An 18,666-nucleotide genomic window follows, 5' to 3' on the forward strand; every position below is an offset into this window, starting at 1 on the left:
ATCCTACAATGAACAGTTCAGACTCCACAACAAATAATTATCCGGTCCAAAATGTTAACAATGCTGAGTTTTACAAACCCTGATTTTGTCTATCCTAATACAGATATTGCTTCAGAGTAAGCATAAGAGTGTATGAAGCAGTTTGGCAGGGCGCAGTGGCTGATGCCTCTAATAACCCAGCACTTTGGAAGGCCAAGGCGGACAGATCACTTGAGGTCAGGAGTTTGACAGCAGCCTGGCCAACGTGGTAAAACCTCATCTCTACTGAAAATACAAAAATTAGCCGGATGTGGTGGTGCATGCCTCTAATTCCAGCTACTCGGGAGGCTGAGACAGAAGAATCGCTTGAACCTGGGAGGCAGAGGTTGTAGTGAGATGAGATCATGCTACTGCACTCCAGCCTAGGCAATAGAGCGAGACTCTGTCAAAAAAAAAAAAAAAAAAAAAAAAAAACAGAAGTGTATGAAGCAGTTATAATAAAGATCACCTGCATTGATTAAATCTAGAGGTCCCACATAAATAAATTGCACTTAAAGCTACCCATTCCATATTTGCTCTGCAAGTGGCAACCAAGTGCAACTTAATAATTTCACATAAAAAACCTTACTTTATAAATAAAATATTCTTCATCTCCACTCAAAAAATTCCCTTCCTACATGGCTTCCACTAAAAAAAAAAAAAAAAAAAAAAAAAGCTCTGAGTTTGCTTTTAAAAACAATCCGGCTCCTATAAGACTTATGAGACCTTGCGTGCATGCAAATCACCAAGCATCAACATAAATACACTAGGTTAAGTAAACTTGATGGCCATGGGGGATACATTTTTTTCCTCCTGTGATTGACTTTCGTCAGTTATAATTAGGCATGTAAATTCTCTGTGCTTGGAAAAAAGATTTTGAAAAAGGAAACTTATCCAGTGCTCTCTGGCATCTGGGATTTGTTCTTGTTTCCACTGCTTCTAAAGAGGTTGCATAATGCCTGATTTGTGGAGACCAATATTTTATTCGAAAAACAGAAAGGATCCAGTCACTGTTTTGGGGACTAACCCAAAGGAAATTGTTTAGTATATTAAATTATACTCAGAAAACTGCTGTACAACTGTTTTTATAACTTGGAAGCGTTAAAAATCCAGGATTTTTATTTCAAGAATCGGGTTTGGCAAACTTTTTCTATTAAGGGCCAGGTAGTAAATATTTTAGATTTTGTGGTCTAAAAAGTATCTGATGGAGCTACTCAACTCTGCTGCTGTAGTGCAAAGGGAGCTATAGAAAACTGGTAAATTAATGGCTGTGAATGTGCTTTAAGAAAACTTTATTTAAAAAATAGGTGGTAGACTAGATTTGGCCTCCAGGTATTATTTTGCTGACTCCCATTCTAGATAATATTTTCATCTGGAAGATGAAAGATGACTATCAGTTTAAATTATTTGGCCACTGCCAAGTCATAGTAAAATATGGAGTGAAAGTAAAGAAAAAAATATTCATGTAATGCCTATTATGTGTCAAAAACTGTGCCAGGGAAGCTACTCACCTTACAATGCACAGGACAACCACTCATAAAGAATTATCTAGCCCAAAATGTCAATAGTGCTGAGGATAACAGACTCTCTCGCCTTTGTAGCAAAATGTAGTTAAAAAAATCCACCACCATCAGCATCAATTGGAAGCATGTTAGAAATGGAGAATCTCAAGTTCCTCCCAAGAGCTACTGAATCATAATCTCTATTCTAAAAATATTCCCAGAGGGTGTGTGTGCAAATTTAAATTAATTCACGGTGGTCCAGCCTGGCATAACTAATATAGGGGTCGTGAATATGGTGACATTATCAGAGAAATGTGCATCAGAATGGTTAAAAATTTGCACTACTTTACAACTCGTAAAGGCTTGAGAAATAACTTGAAGACATCTTTCTGACTTCCAAGAGTACATTCTATCTGCTATCCCATTTTATCTCCCTGGCCAAAATCTTAGAAAAATACTTTAAATCCACCTGAGGATTTATGCATAATTTTACATGTATAAATTTTAACATATACTAGTAAACATCTAATAAACATAATACACAGAGCATGCTCTCATGAGGAAAATAACCCTGATTCTTCAGGAACCATTTGTTATTATTTGTATAATGACTGTTTAAGTGCTATCCATTAACAAGAAGTAGTGAAATCAAAGTCAAAGCCAGATGGGTTCAAGTTAAAATCTTAATATGATGGCACTGATCAATTTATTTATCTTCTCTGAGTTGGAGCTAGCTACCATGCCGTATTATTGTAAAGTCCTTATTAGATAACAATGATTAGCTATCACTTTCTGAAAGTCTTCATATGAACTGAATTGCCTTTTCCCAGAGTAAAATAATTTCTTGAAAGTCTCACTCAGGGTATGGTGGCAACTTCTCCCAGAAGGATTTGCATTTTAAAAGGTAATTCTCTACCTATCCCCTCCACCTGTCCTGTCCAGTGGAAAGTACAATGGCAATACTTGTATCTAAGGAATAACTTTGTCATGCAAGGTGGGCTGTTTGATGTTACTATCTATCTTGCAAGAGGACATAGAATATCGGTCCATTTTATACAATGTCACAAAATGTGGCATAGGGAATTGGATTTATTGGGGGAACTTTATAAAGCCAGCACTGACAAAAAGAAAAGGCAGAGAGTTCCTATATACCCCTGTATAACTGGAGAGAAATTCTAGGGCCAGAGTACACTATGCTGTGGGTAAAAGACCGGAGAAGGAAGAAACTCGGCTTCTATATTTCTCTCTCATTGGAACAAGCATGAAGGCAACTTTGTCAGTGAAAAAAAAAAATCTCTCTACTTGGACATTGGCAGTTTGTATTTAGATGCCAGTTTCTGTGAGAACTGTCTATTAATAGTAAAGCTATCCTTCCAAATTCAAGACCTCTGGGCCTGTAAATAAATCATTGGTCTTATGAGAAGCTCAGTTTAGTTATGGCTCCTACAGTCAGATGGGAGTGAGCCTTCATGTCCCTGACATCTCACTGTTCAGGTACCACTTGGGAGTTACCAAAGGCAATTTAGAGAATTCTCTTTGTTGCATCACAGACTTATAATTTAAGGCATCAGCCATGTAATATATGAGCTAGTATTGTTGGACAAGGTAAACTCCAAAATATTTCAACAATATTAAATAGAAAAGTGTTTCTTTCATGGTCACCCACAACTGTTTTGAATCTCTAAGACCAAGAGGTTGCAGTCTGCACAAGGGCCACTTAAAAATCTACCTAGGTGCTGCCACACACTTCCTTAAAAAATACAGTGAACTAGTGTTTATTCACTTATTTATTCACATATAAGCCAATCATATTTCCAAATGATTGCAATGCCAGGCATGGTGATACGCATTAGGGAGACAAAGGTATATAAAATAATATTCCTGACCTTAAGCAATAAAAAAAAGTTAAAGAAACAAACATGCATAAATATTTCTAGAAATCAAACTGAGCATGAATTAAAGTATTGTTTAAAGAATTAATAAACCATCCAGGCACGGTGGCTCATGCCTGTAATCCCAACACTTTGGGAGGCCGAGGTGGGCAGATCACCTGAGGTCAGGAGTTTGAAACCAGCCTGACCAATATGGTGAAACCCCATCTCTACTAAAAATACAAAAAAAAAAAAAAATAGCTGGGTGTGGTGGCAGGTGCCTGTAGTCCCAGCTACTCAGGAGGCTGAGGCAGGAGAATCGCTTGAGCCCGGGAGGCAGAGGTTGCAGTGAGCCGAGAACACGCCATTGCACTCCAGCCTGGGTGACACAGTTAGATCCTGTCTCAAAAAATATAATAACAATAATAATAATAAACCCCAGACACCATGAAACAGAAATATATATTAACTTTTTATTGCATATTCAACTATTTAAATTGTAGGTTCATAAGGTAGCCTTAGAAGCAGACAGAATAAGATATACTTTATATTATCTTTCTTTCCATCCATCTCTTTTAGGTTTACATGACAAATACACTCTTAAAGTTTTGTCAAAGCAACCATAAGTATCCTGACCACTGAATATTCTCTCATTAATACCATAATTTTATTTAGTTTTCTGATTTGGATTACCAAGGATTCTACCAATACTTGTAAGTTTGTGGCAAAATCAATTCTATGAGTTATTAGACGCCAATGGTTAATTCAATTTTCCAGTAAACAAAACCATTGCCAGTTGCCCCATTCTCTTTATAGAGGTCTCTTTGGGAAGTCTCTGGATTCTACTGTGAAATTTTTGTTCATATTGGCAAGGTAGGTATGTAAGGTCATATATTCAATATGGAACATCTGAGGAAAGAAAATAAAAATACAATTTTATTGAAACCATAACCGATATTATTGAGGTTGAAAGCATTGCTGGCATTGAAGAAAAATAGTCCAACATTAAAACATACATTTGAAAAAGAAATTATTTGTGTTTCTCAAGCACAGTAAAGAGGATATGTGGTCCTCATTTAACATTTTTATTCTTTTTGCAATTATTATTTGCTTCACTTGTGAAGCTTCCCAGGTACCTCTTTCTTCAAAATCTTAAAAACTAATAGTAGTAATATTACCCCGCCTAGCCCTGGCCCACACACCTGTTGTCCTCTACTACTTCTCTTCTCCTGCTATTTTACTATAATTTCATCTCATTTTCTCTATTTTTTGCAATGTTTGATTCCCCCTTATTGTAGAAAAATGGAAAGACACAGTACTGCAATGATAGAAATCCTCTGGACAGAAATGAGAGTGGCCTTTTCCCAGTTTAAAACCAATTAATTTGAACTTTCTTCCCTGTTCAAAGTAAATGACTCTTATCCTGATTTTAGTTATCATAAGACTTCCTATCACCTAAGCTGTAAAGTACTTATTCAGTCCAAATGGTTGGACTTCATTGCTCTTATCACAAATAAATAACAATATAAAATGGAACAAGGAAGAACTATACCACTCAATTGTCTTAAAAGACATTTAACCCTAGGGTCTGGTACACAGGTGGTCTGGCTACCCAGTGCCTTTGTTCCTGCCCATTGCTCACTGGACTGAACTAGCCTCAGATGGCCATTGCTCCTGAAACGTGGCATGCTGGATATCTGCTGTGTCCACTGGATAAGAGTATTTTAGGGGCCTAGGACTACTATTTTTTCAGTGACAAAGCAATAGTGTATCATTGGGCAATGTTTATCTTCAGTTATAGAATCTGCATGAAACTTTAGTATATAACTCTTTTTATAGACACACACACATATGCACATGCACACACATATGTGCACACATGTGCACTTCTATACATGCACAGGTGCACACACACAGACACACACTTTGTGGATTCATGAGGTTGCCCCAGCAACCTCTATTACTCTATTAGGAGTCACACACTCTATTAGGAGTAACCCCTTTTGTCTCCCTATGCCTCCTTGTATTAGTCTTCTCACACTGCTATAAAGATGCTACCTGGGATTGAGTAATTTATAAACAAAAAGGTTTAATTGACTAACAGTTCTACATGGCTTGGGAGGCCTCAGGAAACTTACAATCATAGCAGAAGGTGAAGGGGAAGCAAGGCACGTCTTACATGGCAGCAGGAAAGAGAGACAGAAAGAAGGGGAAAGCGCCAGACACTTATCAAACAACCAGACCTCATGATAACTCACTAACTATCATGAGAACAGCATGGGAGAAACTACCCCTATGATCCAGTCAATTCTCACCAGTTCCCTCCCTCTACATGTGGGGATTACAACTCTAGATGAGATTTGAGAGGGGACATAAAGCCAAACCATATCACACCCCATACCTAGAATTGATAAAGGCCCTTCCTCTTTCAGTCTTGACTCCATCCTCTTTTCTTGTGTTAGGATATATAACACTTCTTGCCCAGGAAAACTCCACCATATTTTTGTTGTATTAATATAGGCTACAAACATTTCTGTTACATCTACCCTAAATTCTCAGTATTTATCTATATTTGAATTCTTGAAGTGTATCACAATTCCTGGCACAACAGTAGGTACTCAATATATATTACATGAACTGACCAGAACTGAATTACAAGGGAGAGGACAGTCCATGGAAACTTCAGTTCCTTGTTAGCTAATAAGAAACAGACACAATTTTTAGCATTTTCCCAGTAGTTTATAGATTTTGTATGTATATTTTGAACTGTATTCAGAGTGATAAGTGCAATAATAGAGAACTGAACCTGTAACAAGTTTCACTGAGCATAGAGAGTAGGGAATACTTTATAATGGGAAGCAGAAAAGTTAAGCATGTTTTATTTAAAAGGGGAAGTTTTCAATGGGTTTTGTAATTAGAGTTTTCTTTTGTCAGGCCTAAAGGGCTGACAGTGGGAGAGAGGTGTGTGAAAACAGTGTTCCAGAAAGAGGCAGCAGTTTGAAAAGCCATGAACACATTAATGAATATACTATGAGAAGATAACAACAACTTTGGAGTGGTGCTATCTGGATCACATAAGATAACACATGCTGAAGAGCTCTACAGCAACTGGGGCAGAGCAGGGGGTTGGTAATTGTTGAATGAACCTATGTATTAACTCTTAGGTTCTGCAGCGTTTTTCCCCTCATCTTTGACTATCAGTTTTCAACATTAAATGAACGATCAATGAAGTTATCCATGTGCCAGGCTTTTAAAAAACCTGGCTTAAGTTGAATCCCATTAAAACCAGAGAAGGCATGGAAAATCACAAAGGTGTCTCTTAAGGAACACCAGGTTTGAAGCATGTGGTTGAATTGGAAAATGGCAAATCATTGAAAAGAAGAGCACTAAAATAACGGGAGCATCAGGAAAAAGCAAAGAAAGAAAAACACAGGTTTTCAAACACCGCATGTTCTCACTCATAAGTGGGAGCTGAACAATGAGAACACATGGACACAGGAAGGGGAACATCACACACCAAGGCCTGTCAGGGGTTAGGGGAAAAGGGGAGGGAGAGCATTAGGACAAATACCTAATGCATGCAGAGCTTAAAACCTAAATGACAGGTTGATAGGTGCAGCAAACCACTATGGCAAATGTATACCTATGTAACAAATCTGCACGTTCAGCACATGTATCCCAGAACTTGAGGTAACATAAAAAAGAAAAATAAAGGTTTTATTTCATATGTATATGTTGTCCCTAAAAAAGTATTTAATTATATTGTTAGGCTAGGCATTTAAATTGAATCCCTCTAATCATAAGAAAAATGACTTATTTTACTCCTTAGCTGCTTAGCCTGTGGTCTTTAAGGAATAACATACATTACTGTTTAGAGTTAGGGCATTCTTGTTCAAATGTTTTATTTTCTATATGTTGTTCCCAACTAAATTTTACTGAGATAATGAAATCTTCAGTGAAAAGGGATACATATGATCTCAGACCCTTACCTTCTAAACTAATATATTAGAATAAACATACTATGCAGCTGATACGATCTACTTAGCTTTCCTGAGTCTGATGACTGCAAAGGCCCTGCATATATGCAGCAATAGAGTTTCATCTCTTTTCAGTCAGTTTACATTATTTCACTCAAAGTCCTTGGAAAATAAAGTGCCCTTTTAATATGGATTTAAATGTGCACTCAGAATACAAAATTGCGTGTGTATTCTATGGAAACAAGTAACATCCTGCAGTTAAATACATTTCTTTGTTACTATGCATCCCACGTAAGTGCAAACATTAACTTTTTTTAAATACTTCCCTCCAGAAATGGCTTTCTTACCTGTAGTGTAGACACAGGCAAGAACCAGAGTAAAAAGATTTATCCACGAAATGTTTTTTATTCAAAACCAGTAAGGTAGAGATATAGTTTTTTTTTTTTTTATCAAACTGTTTTACGAGGCTTATGTTGTTATTCCAGTTCCATGAACCCCACAGAAATATCCTGTCTGTGCACAAAAAATTCTGATTTCATGCTTGGAAGAATTTTATCAAATATTTAGAAACAGAAAGTAGTTATTCCTGTGATACATGCACATATCATTAATACTCAGGCACACACACTTTCGTTCCTCACACATGCTGATCTAGATAAACAGCTGAAAGCTATTTCACATGAATTATCCAAGAGGAAATTTTTAGTGCAAAAAAATGTAACCTTTGTACTCTATTTCTTCCAAATAAGAGATAGATATTTAGTTGTAGTTATAGGCATCCCAGAAAAAAAAAATACAAAAATGCATTGTACCATCCAAAGATTTTGTAATTAATCACTTAGATTTAGTCACCTAGTTTACAAATAGTTAAGATAGGGCCAGGCTGTCCAGGTTTATAACTAGCTAAAATTCATATAAGTCGACTGTTGATAAAACAATGGTTGACTGCATGAGAAAATTGTAATGTTGGGTAAGAATAAAGGCTTCAAAAATATTTAAATATATATGCATGTGGCTTATGCTATTGTGCTCTGCTCATATTTACTAGGTCATTGATTCTCAAAATGTGGTCTTTAGACTAGCAACATCAGCATCAGGTAGGAATTTACAAAAATGCAAACTCCATAGCGGACCTACTGAATCTGAAACTCTGGATGTGGAGCCTGGCCATCTTGCTATAGCAAACTCACCAAGTAATTCTGAGGCAGCTTAAGGTTTGAGAACCACTGCTTTATTTCTAGACTGGAATTCACTAAAGATAGCTCCTGTACACAGTCAATCCTTCAGAGGATTTCCCTATGCTCACCACTTTGATAAGTTACTTGAAACCAAATCCCTGCTCAGAGTCTGCCTTGGAGGTGACTCAAGTTAAGAAAATGTGTTTATATGTCCTAACAATATGCTTTCATGGAAGATTTGCTGCATTGAATTATAATTTATTTTTGCAATTTTGATTTCCTTACGTGAATGTGAGGGGATTTTTGGCTTTTTAAAAAATAATTTCAACTTTTATTTTGGATTCAGGGGATATGCTTTCAGGTTTGTTTCCTGGGTATATTGTGTGATGCTCAGGTTTGGGGTTTGATTGATTCCGTCATCCAGCTACTGAACATAGTACCCAGTAGTTTTGCAGTCCTTGCTCCTTTCTCCCACCAGCGTCCAGTGTCCTTTGTTTCTATTGTTGCCATCTTTATGTCCATAAATACTCAATGTTTAGCTCCAACTTATAAGTGAGAACATGTGGTATTTGGTTTCTGTTCCTGCACTAATTTGCTGAGAATAATGGCCTCCAGCTGCATGCCTGTCGTTGCAAAGGACATGATTTTATCCTTGTGACTGAATAATATTACAATGTGGTACATATACTACATTTTCTTTATCCAATCCATCACTGATGGGTATCTATGTTGATTCCATGTCTTTGCTATTGTGAATAGGTAATTCTATTTTAAGTTCTGTGTGAATTCTCCAAATTGCTTTCCACAGTGGCTGAACTAATTTACATTCCTACCAACAGTGTCTAAGCATTGAATGCGAGTTTTTAAGAGCAAAAGATACAAGGCATAATTTATTTTTACATTTTCTAGGCCCAGGACGGTGCCTGGCAAATAAGAATTTTTCAATGAATATTGGTGTAATAAATGTAGAAGTACATAAATTGGATATTTTTAAGTTATTTTAAATTAAAATTGATGATATTATATCACCAATATACTTATATTGATGATAAGTGTGTCAAAGGTTATAGCTGAATCAACAAATGCCTGCAATTGGTAGTTAACAGTTGTAGAAATTCCAAGTTGTTTCAGGTTAGCTAAAATGTAATAAGAAATATGTATAATCATAGCATTATTGAAGAATATAACTGACAACTCTACACAGGTTCTTTGGGGGACCCTTAGCATGCTTTAATTTCAGCAATGGTATATTTAATCTACTTCCATGCATTGACAGTTAACTATATGTGCCCAGGGCTCTTGTATTCTGGGTTCAAGTTATGTATTGCTGTTTTTGACAGGAAGTGCTCTTTTATATTCATATTTAAACATTTACTGCTACAAGTGTAAGTGTTTGAAGTATTCATAAAGTTATTTTTCACATAGAAACTGAGATTTCAAGGTTAGAATCATTTATCCCTATAGAGAGAAGATATAAATGAAAATATTACCAAACTCTCAGTGTGGATGAAGGTCATGACAACACTGCTATATCAAATAAAGAGAAAAAATAGTTTGCAATTATTTTTTCTAAACGAGACTTCCCCGATTGTGAGAAGCTATTTATTTCTGCAATACAGTCTGTGTGGCACAACCTCTATTTGCTACCTACTAGTTTTTATTTTTATAACAATTTAAATGGGTACAGTAATTTATAGCTAGTGAGCAGAATCTCTTAGAAAGGGGTATCTTATGAAGAAAAGTATTATTATCTATATTTCTTCTCTTGCATTAATTTTCCTTTGGTTATTGCAAACATTAAAGGAGAATATAGGAGCAGAGTAATTATCATACTTAATACTCTCCAGAAATACTGTATATTGAATTTGAATAGGCTAGGGAACTTATTAATCAATTGGTAAAACTTGCAAAGCACCACCAAATCTATGTTTTTTAAGTATATAAAATAAACTGAAACTGATTTTTTTTCTAGTAAAACATGGTGATGTGTATGTCTCATTTATTTCAAAGATAATATCTTAGGCTCTGATCTAGAGTTGTTTCATAGAGAATGAACATGAAACGGTCTAGAGTTCCTTTTTTTGGTGGATTAAACATAGTTCTTTCCTTCTCCTGTATCTCTACTTTTTGGCATAATCTGTCTTTTATCCCTTTTTACTCATCCTCTTTGTATCCCTGTTATAACACACATGGTTTTATATTGTTCTGAGTGTTCTTCATTGTTCCATCTGTAGAATATTTTTCATCCTCTTCTAGATCTGGAAATCCAAGATCTGCCCAACATCTGGAAAGGAGCTTACCCTGTTCTTTTTTAACACTTTTGTTTACAAAGCTAAGAGATTTCATACTCCCTCCCCAATTTCCTTGTTGGTAATTCTCCTAACTAAGATTAGAATCTTCTGTTTAGGTTTATTTTCTGTGATCGTCATAGCAAATTTGTCATGCTTCATAAAACATAAAATAAACAGAAAAATTCTCATAATTACAGGGTTGGAAAGCTGAACCATAAAGGAATCTACATCAACAATTCCCCTCAATAAAAAAGTTCAATAGCAGAGATTTTTGCAAAAAGATTTTTAAAAGAAAAGAGTTTTTCTTAATGTCTCACTTGCTGGCCCAGATTCTTTTTCACTGGGGAATATCGAGTATTGTTTTGATGATTGGAAAGTTGACTTTTTATCAATTTAGCACTTGCTCTAAAAGACCATATTTTGAGCCCAAAACTGAGCTGTAAGTTTTAAGATGTGCACGCTTTCTGAATTGTTTATCCTCCTTGACACAAGGCCACTGGAGAAACTTGCACCAAAAGATTACGGTTAAACAAAACGAAACTTGTCCTCCCCGGAAAAGAAATGATGTGGGAAAAACACTTCCCCTTTGGTAAAGCTACTGCAAATTAAAAAGAAAGATCTCAGTGTGAAGTTGGTGATGTTTTGTTGCAAAGAAAAAAAAAGTGCAATGAAAACTCCATCAGCTCTTTCAGCTGAGAAAAAGAACACAGGAAAATGAAGTGCAGGGAAGACTCACAAAGCTCTTTTGGAAACTGGAGACTAGAAGCTTTACAGGTAAATACCAAGCTAGCAGAAAACAAATCTCAGTGGCCTGGCATGTGAACCTAATGATGTAACAGAGGATGAATCAATGTTTATCAAATTAATCATCCGTTAATGAACCTTCTAATTAAGAGTCACAGGCCAGATGAAGTAACATGGCAGGTAAATACCTCAAATCTGGAGCTGGGGGACTGTCAAGATCAGAATAAAAGTGTTTCCACTAACGGCAAGGAAACAAACAGGGAGATGTTGCATCCTGAAAAAACTTTAAAATGATTTTTATAAAAATTAGTTATCTGTGGTATAATTGTTGTTGTTTTGTTCTGTTTTCCTTAGTGCTTAGTACCTTATACTGGTTATTCTAACTTTATTTTTAAGACATTGATAGAATGCAAACCTTAATTTGAAGTCTTTGCTAAAGACAGGGTTTTATGATGAGTGTGTGTGTTCAGTCTCTGGAAGGAGTGGAAAAACAACTACAAAGAACTTTATTCAGGTTATAGCCAAAAGAAAATTGGGTCGGATATGGTGGCTCAGGCCTGTAATCCCAGGGCTTTGGGAGGCTGTGGTGGGAGAATCGCTTGAACCCAGGAGTTCTAGGCTGCAGTGGGTTATGGCTGCACCACTGCACTCCAGCTTGGGTGACAGAGTGAGACCCTGTCTCTAAAATAAATACATATATAAAAATAAAAGAAAATCAGTGGAAATTTCTTTATAATTTGTTAGGAATTGACAATATATCACTGTGCTTGGTAACTTTGTTAATCTGTCTTCTGAGCTTATTAACTTATTTACAGAACTGGAAGACACAGGCTATATACTGTAAAATTATTTGAGTCAAGCAAAGCAATCCAAATAATTTAGAAATAAAAGTTCACTTATACATTAACAAAATAATTACCTTGATAAAATTTGCTTAATCAAATATATTCAGTATTTAATTATCTTTTATTGAAATTTTACTCTTGTAAACAGTACAAGGCAAAGTTTTTGTAGCATGAAATAAATCAAAGTTACTGCAAGTAGCTGGAAATATCTGAGTTACATGAAATTTGAACAAGTTTTAGAAAAATTAGAAATATTGTCATTAGCAAATATTCCCTTTGTTATTCCCACCCATGAATGGATTCCATGTTTAGAAAAATCTTGACTGCCAAACTGCATTGTTCAGGGAATATTTAATTTGTTTCTACTCTTTATTAATAGAAGTCCTATAATGCAAATATCTAAAGTAGACTGTTTTCCCACAGTGAATAGCTATAATTCTATTCCAAAGCAAAGAAACCCAATGTGTTAATTAGTCCATACAGCCTGATCTTGAATAAATGTAGAATTTCCATTAGCATTTTGGACATTTTCAAAAATTTTTAAAACCCTGTATCCAATTACTACTCTCTAGGAAATTTAGGATCTCAGATGTCCCAAGCTGTAAAAAGATTTCTGGACCCCAGAGAATAATTAGTAAGTAACAACAGTTACAACAAGAGTGAAGCTCAGACAAAATCAACCTTAACTAGGTTTTTATTGAATTGCAGAATAGAATTTATTTTTCTAATAAACAGAGTGCATTTTAATATGTTTGGCATTTTACTGTTCTACTTACTTTTCATTTGTGCAATTTTATTTGATCAAGCTATGATATTTTTAGCTTCCAGAACAGTTACCTCCCTACCTAGGGCACATCCCCAGAAGCAATTACTCCTTTAATTAGCTTTGACTCATTAATCTTTGCCTCTTCTGCTTTCCTTTCAAGTGGAGGGGGACTTCCCATCCATTTGTGTAGCATAATGCACTATCACAGTAAGTTTCTCTTTACCTCTGCACCTTACTTTTTAAGATAATACTTCCCTTGTCAAACCATCCTAAGGATTCTATTCCTGGGATGTCTGAGCATAATAAATAGGATGCTCCCTGTGTTAAGGAAAAAAAAAAAGAATGAGACCTTTGATCTCATTAGGTCTCCACAGTTATTTTTTTAACTCATCATTTATTACTGCCATAACATAATACTTTAAATGTACTCTCTCTGGGACTTGCCATCTTGTTGCATGTATACAGAATACATGTATACACACATGCACATATATGTATATATAAGTAGATAATTTAGCATAGGAATTGATTGGCTGAGGTGATTGTGAAAGCCAAGAGTGCCACAAATTGCCATTTGTGAGTTGGAGAACTCAGAAAAGCCAGTGGTGTAATTCAGGACAAGCCCTAAGGTCAGAGAATCAGGGTAGCCAATTAGCCAATGGTGGAAATCTGGACCTGAGTCCCTAGGCCTGAAAGCCAGAAGTGCTGACGTCTGAGGACAGAAGAAAATGATGTCCCAGCCCAAACGTCAAGAGTGAACTTGCCCTTTTTGTTCTATCCAGGATAGCCTTTTGTGAGTGGATTGGGCCCTGAGTGGATTGACGATTTCCACTGGTATGGATGAAGGTAACAAGTTCTTTACTCAGTCTACCTATTCAAATACTAGTATCTCCCAAAAGCAACTTCACAAACACACTCAGAAATTACTGGCTGGGCATCCTTTGGCCCAGTCAAGTTGAAGCAAAATTAATCATCACAACATCTATGACTATCAAATCTCCATCACAGATACTCTTAATTTAGCGGATACAAGCTAATAGGAAGTAACAGCAGAACAAACTCAAGCTCCAGGGCAGTGTTTATATCAGAGTGCTCTACTTTTCACACATATTTGCCTTAAGCCATGATTCTTTTGACCTCTTGTGTCACTGTCTGCTGCTAATCAAATCAGCCATGAGCGAACCATCACATATTCATTTCCCTCACTTCCCTGTTCCCTCCAACTTTTCTGAGTGTCTTGGTCTAAAACTGCGTGTTGCAAGGGGCAGGTGGTGGGGAGGTGAAGCTGTAATAAAGTTGCTCTTTCGCAAACAAGAAACTACTATATAATGTCAGTTTCTACTTTCAGTGCCTGTTGAATTAAAAAAAAATCATCATCATAAAAAAATAAAGATAATTATAAGAGAAAAGTTGAAGAAACTTAATTAGGCCTTTGAAACTAGAAATCAATACCATTAACTTCCAATTAAACATAGCTAATTTAATTCTCTATGATACTAAAAGATCAATGATGAATTATAAAAGTCAAATAGTTTGAAAAATGCAACAGATGAGCAGAAGCACAAAGTACATTTTAGAAAGGCATTTTTTTTGGTTCATGTTGTCACTTCTTTTCCAAGCAAGTAGTCACAGAAGAGACAAACTGTGTTTGTTTGTTTGTTTGTTTGTTTTTACTTTAAGTTCTGAGATACATGTGCAGAACGTACAGGTTTGTTACATAGGTATACATGTGCCATGGTGGTATGCTGCACCTATCAACCCGTCATCTAACTTTTAAGCCCTGCATGCATTAGGTATTTGTCCTAATGCTCTCCTTCCTCTTGCCCCCCAGCCCCTGACAGACCCTGGTGTGTAATGTTCCCCTCCCTGTGTCCATGTGTTCTCATTAGAACAGACCGTCTTTTGAAAAGGAATAGGAATGGGAGAAGTAGAAGGAATGGGAGAAATGGCTAATATATAAGAAATACCATTTAACCACAAGAAATGTTACTAATGGTAAATATTGCATTAATGGAAAGTATAATACCTAGTAACCATTTCAGTGCTCCTAGCTCCCCAGATAAAAAAGCTTACATGTTTCAACTAACTAGGCAGCTATGTGAGCCTTCGATAGCCAGGACTCACTATTTTCTTACTCATCCTCTTTACTTTCCTCTACTCTCTCTACCTTTTCTGGTGCCTTCTCCCTTGAGGACATGATGCAAAATAGTAAAAATTTTAAAAACAGAAATTCTAAACAAAATAGCTGTGATAGGAATCTTTAGGAAAACAGTATGGAGAAATACTTGCCTATAATCTATGTAGACATATATGGAAAATTTATGAGTGCGGTACTGAGACAGAATTTTACAATATTTATATTTCCAGTAATTAAGTAACATTAGTAGCCCTATTTTAACAAAAAAAAGAAACAATATCTGTGAGGTTAAATACACTGGGTACTTTTATGCCAGCCATGTTGCCATTAAGTGACAGAATCAGCACTCAAGGCAGAGCTTTCTGCCCTCAAATCTCATAATTCTGAGGAAATTCTGTGCTTTCATTCACCAACACTCAAGGTTTCTTATGTTTGCATAACATTTCACGCCTCTGAAAATACTTTGAAGTTTATGACATACTTTAAAGAGAAAAGACACCAATGAGTTATAAAATAACATTTATAGTAGGTAAGTAAATATACAGGCATTATACCAAAATGTTAATGCATGCCCATCACTTAGCACATTTCCTGAATGAAAGAGAAGTGCCTAATAAAGATCATTTGTATTTTTGTTCTTTTTTGCTTGCCCTGATTTTCTAGTTTCCCAGAATGCATTACATAGTATTTTTACAACATCCATGATCTCATCCATGATCTTGTCCATCATCTTAGAACCTTGAAGCAGGGGAGTCAAGGCAAGTGTTAATATTCATATTTCATAAATTCATAGAATTTCAGTAAATAAAATAGGATATGTCTCCTAATCAACATCAAAACAGCTGATGTCAACAAATGGAAGCAGCTTGCTGCTTGTCTCACAGTCCTGTTGTCAATACAGTGGTTTCTGCCTTCAAGAAGCTGGGTTTCACGTTCTTTTCAAGGGTGTGTGTGTTTGTGTTCATATGAATGCACCACGTGGTTTGCAGGAATTGGTTGGTAAACAGAGAAAACATATTGATTGACAGTGTCAAGATCAATAAAAACCTGGGTAATCTGGCATCAAACAAACCTCACTCACCATGCCTTGCTTTCACATCCCTGCCATTGCATTTGTGCCTTTTAAAGCTTTTTCAGCATTCTGTTACTTCCTTACGCTGTTTTGTTCTAAATTCTAGGGAAGCCATTATGTTACAAGTCCATCATTATTATTTTCTTTCCTTGAAAAGTCACCATTTGTTTTCTAACACTGTCACATATGTTCTAGGTTATTATTTCTGTCCTTTTCTCACTTTAAAATGGGCTATAGTCTTTCTCCCATCAGAGTATTGATTTTGCTTTTAAAAAGGCCTCCCTATTCCATTATCTCTTCTGATCAATTCAGTCCATTTGCATGAGAATTTTTCCCTCTTTCTTACCACCCAAACTGTCTTTGTTTTTATTTCACTTTGCTCTATTTGTCATTTGTAGAGCATTAATTATAACTCCAGAGTTTGTTTTGAAAAGTGTTGGTTTGCTTTGAAAAAAGTCAGTCCACTTGACAGTTTTGATCTCTCTTTTGACATGTGTTTACTCATTCACTGAACACTTATTTGTTGAGCCAGACATGATAGACAGTGCTGAGGTTAATGAAATTAAAAATAGTGAATATTTTTCTATGCAATACATAGTAAGTTGTCACCAAGTGCCAGGCAATCGATAAAGGACTTAAAACTATTTTAATGAAAATAATCAGCATGTATTGAGACCAGAAAATTTCTGAAAGTTTTATATGGAGAATATACTTTGTCCTCAGAAACACCCTATGATATAGTTACTATAATTATCTTCTCAATTTTAGATGAGAAGCGAAGGCAAAGATGAAATTAAATTACTTCATCACAGCTGGCAAGTGGCAGAGTCAGGATTCAAAGTGTTCTTTACCACTAAACTTATCTATACGCATTGTTTTCTATATGCATTGTATGTGTTTTGTATTACTATCTAGTAAGCATGTAACAGATCAAAGTCCACCAAAGGAAAACATGTACATTCCCATTTACCTAAAACGTTTCCTAGAAAGTTCAATTCCACTTTCCCAAAATCTACTTATCCACTTATGACCAAAAAAAAAAAAAAAAAAAAGCCTCAAGGGCACAGATTTATTGTATTATTCTCCTACCTTATAGCTGTCTTAAGATACCATAATCAATGGTTTTTGGGCAGGCTGACATACTAAAGAACCAAATAAAACTCAGTTTTAGCTATATTTTTTGCTTACTAATTATGTCCTATAAGATCTTATTTACTCACTAATAACACTTGCTTTTATAAGTCTCTCCTACCCTGTATCTTAGACACTATACTAAGTACAAGGACTACTATCATGATTGTGACATTGTCACCTGTCCTAGCTAATATTTTAATTTTTTTAATTGTCTTTGAAATAGTTCCCTCTGGAGTCTTCCAAATCTATTAAATAAGTTACCTGATAATAGGAAACCTTAAATCTTTGTAGAAATTCTTCAGTATCCTTCAGTGTCTTTCAAGGAGTAATTACTTAATATATGTTTGTTGGAATGAATTAAAAGACATTGACCTCCAATAATGGCTAATGGATGGCAAAAATTACTATCATATATTCTATAAAGTATATAGGAGCCTGAGGGTCTGGGCAGATAGATGAGCAATTTAGCTTTATATAGGTATATTCAAGGTTCTTACCACGTATTTGTATCATTTTCTTCAATTTTTATTTCCAGTATATTTCACTGAATTTATATATGATACAATTTGTATACCTTCAGTGTGGAGTTCACTAAATTTTAAATGTAGACTCCATTCTAACCAGCACCTCAATTATAATTTACAGCATTGACATAATCTTAGAAAGTTCATTATTGCTCCTTTACAAAATCTGCCCCTCCAGCCTGGCCAAAGCATTCACTGATCTAATTTCTAGCATCATAAATTTGTTTTGCCTTTTCTAAAATTTCTCAGGAATGGAATTAGATAGTATGTACTATTTGGGGTAAGACTTTTTTGACTCAATATTATATTTTTGAATTTTTTTCACGCTGCTGTATCAGTGGTTTGTTCCTTTTATTGCTGAGTACTATTCTATTACACCACATTTTGCCACTATGTGTTTATTCATTCCCCTGTTTAAGAGCATTCTAGTTATTTCCAGGTTTTGCTCATCGTGTATAAATCTCTTAGGATATTTCCTTACAAATCTTTTTAGAAATATACATTATAACCTTTCTTGGGCAAATGCATTTAAATAGAAAAAGTGAGTCACAGTATAGGCATATATTTATTTTATGAAAAGAAAAACAAACTGTCAAACAGTTTTTGA

Source organism: Homo sapiens, chromosome 17 (assembly GCF_000001405.40).
Source record: "Homo sapiens chromosome 17, GRCh38.p14 Primary Assembly".
NCBI lineage: Eukaryota > Metazoa > Chordata > Mammalia > Primates > Hominidae > Homo > Homo sapiens.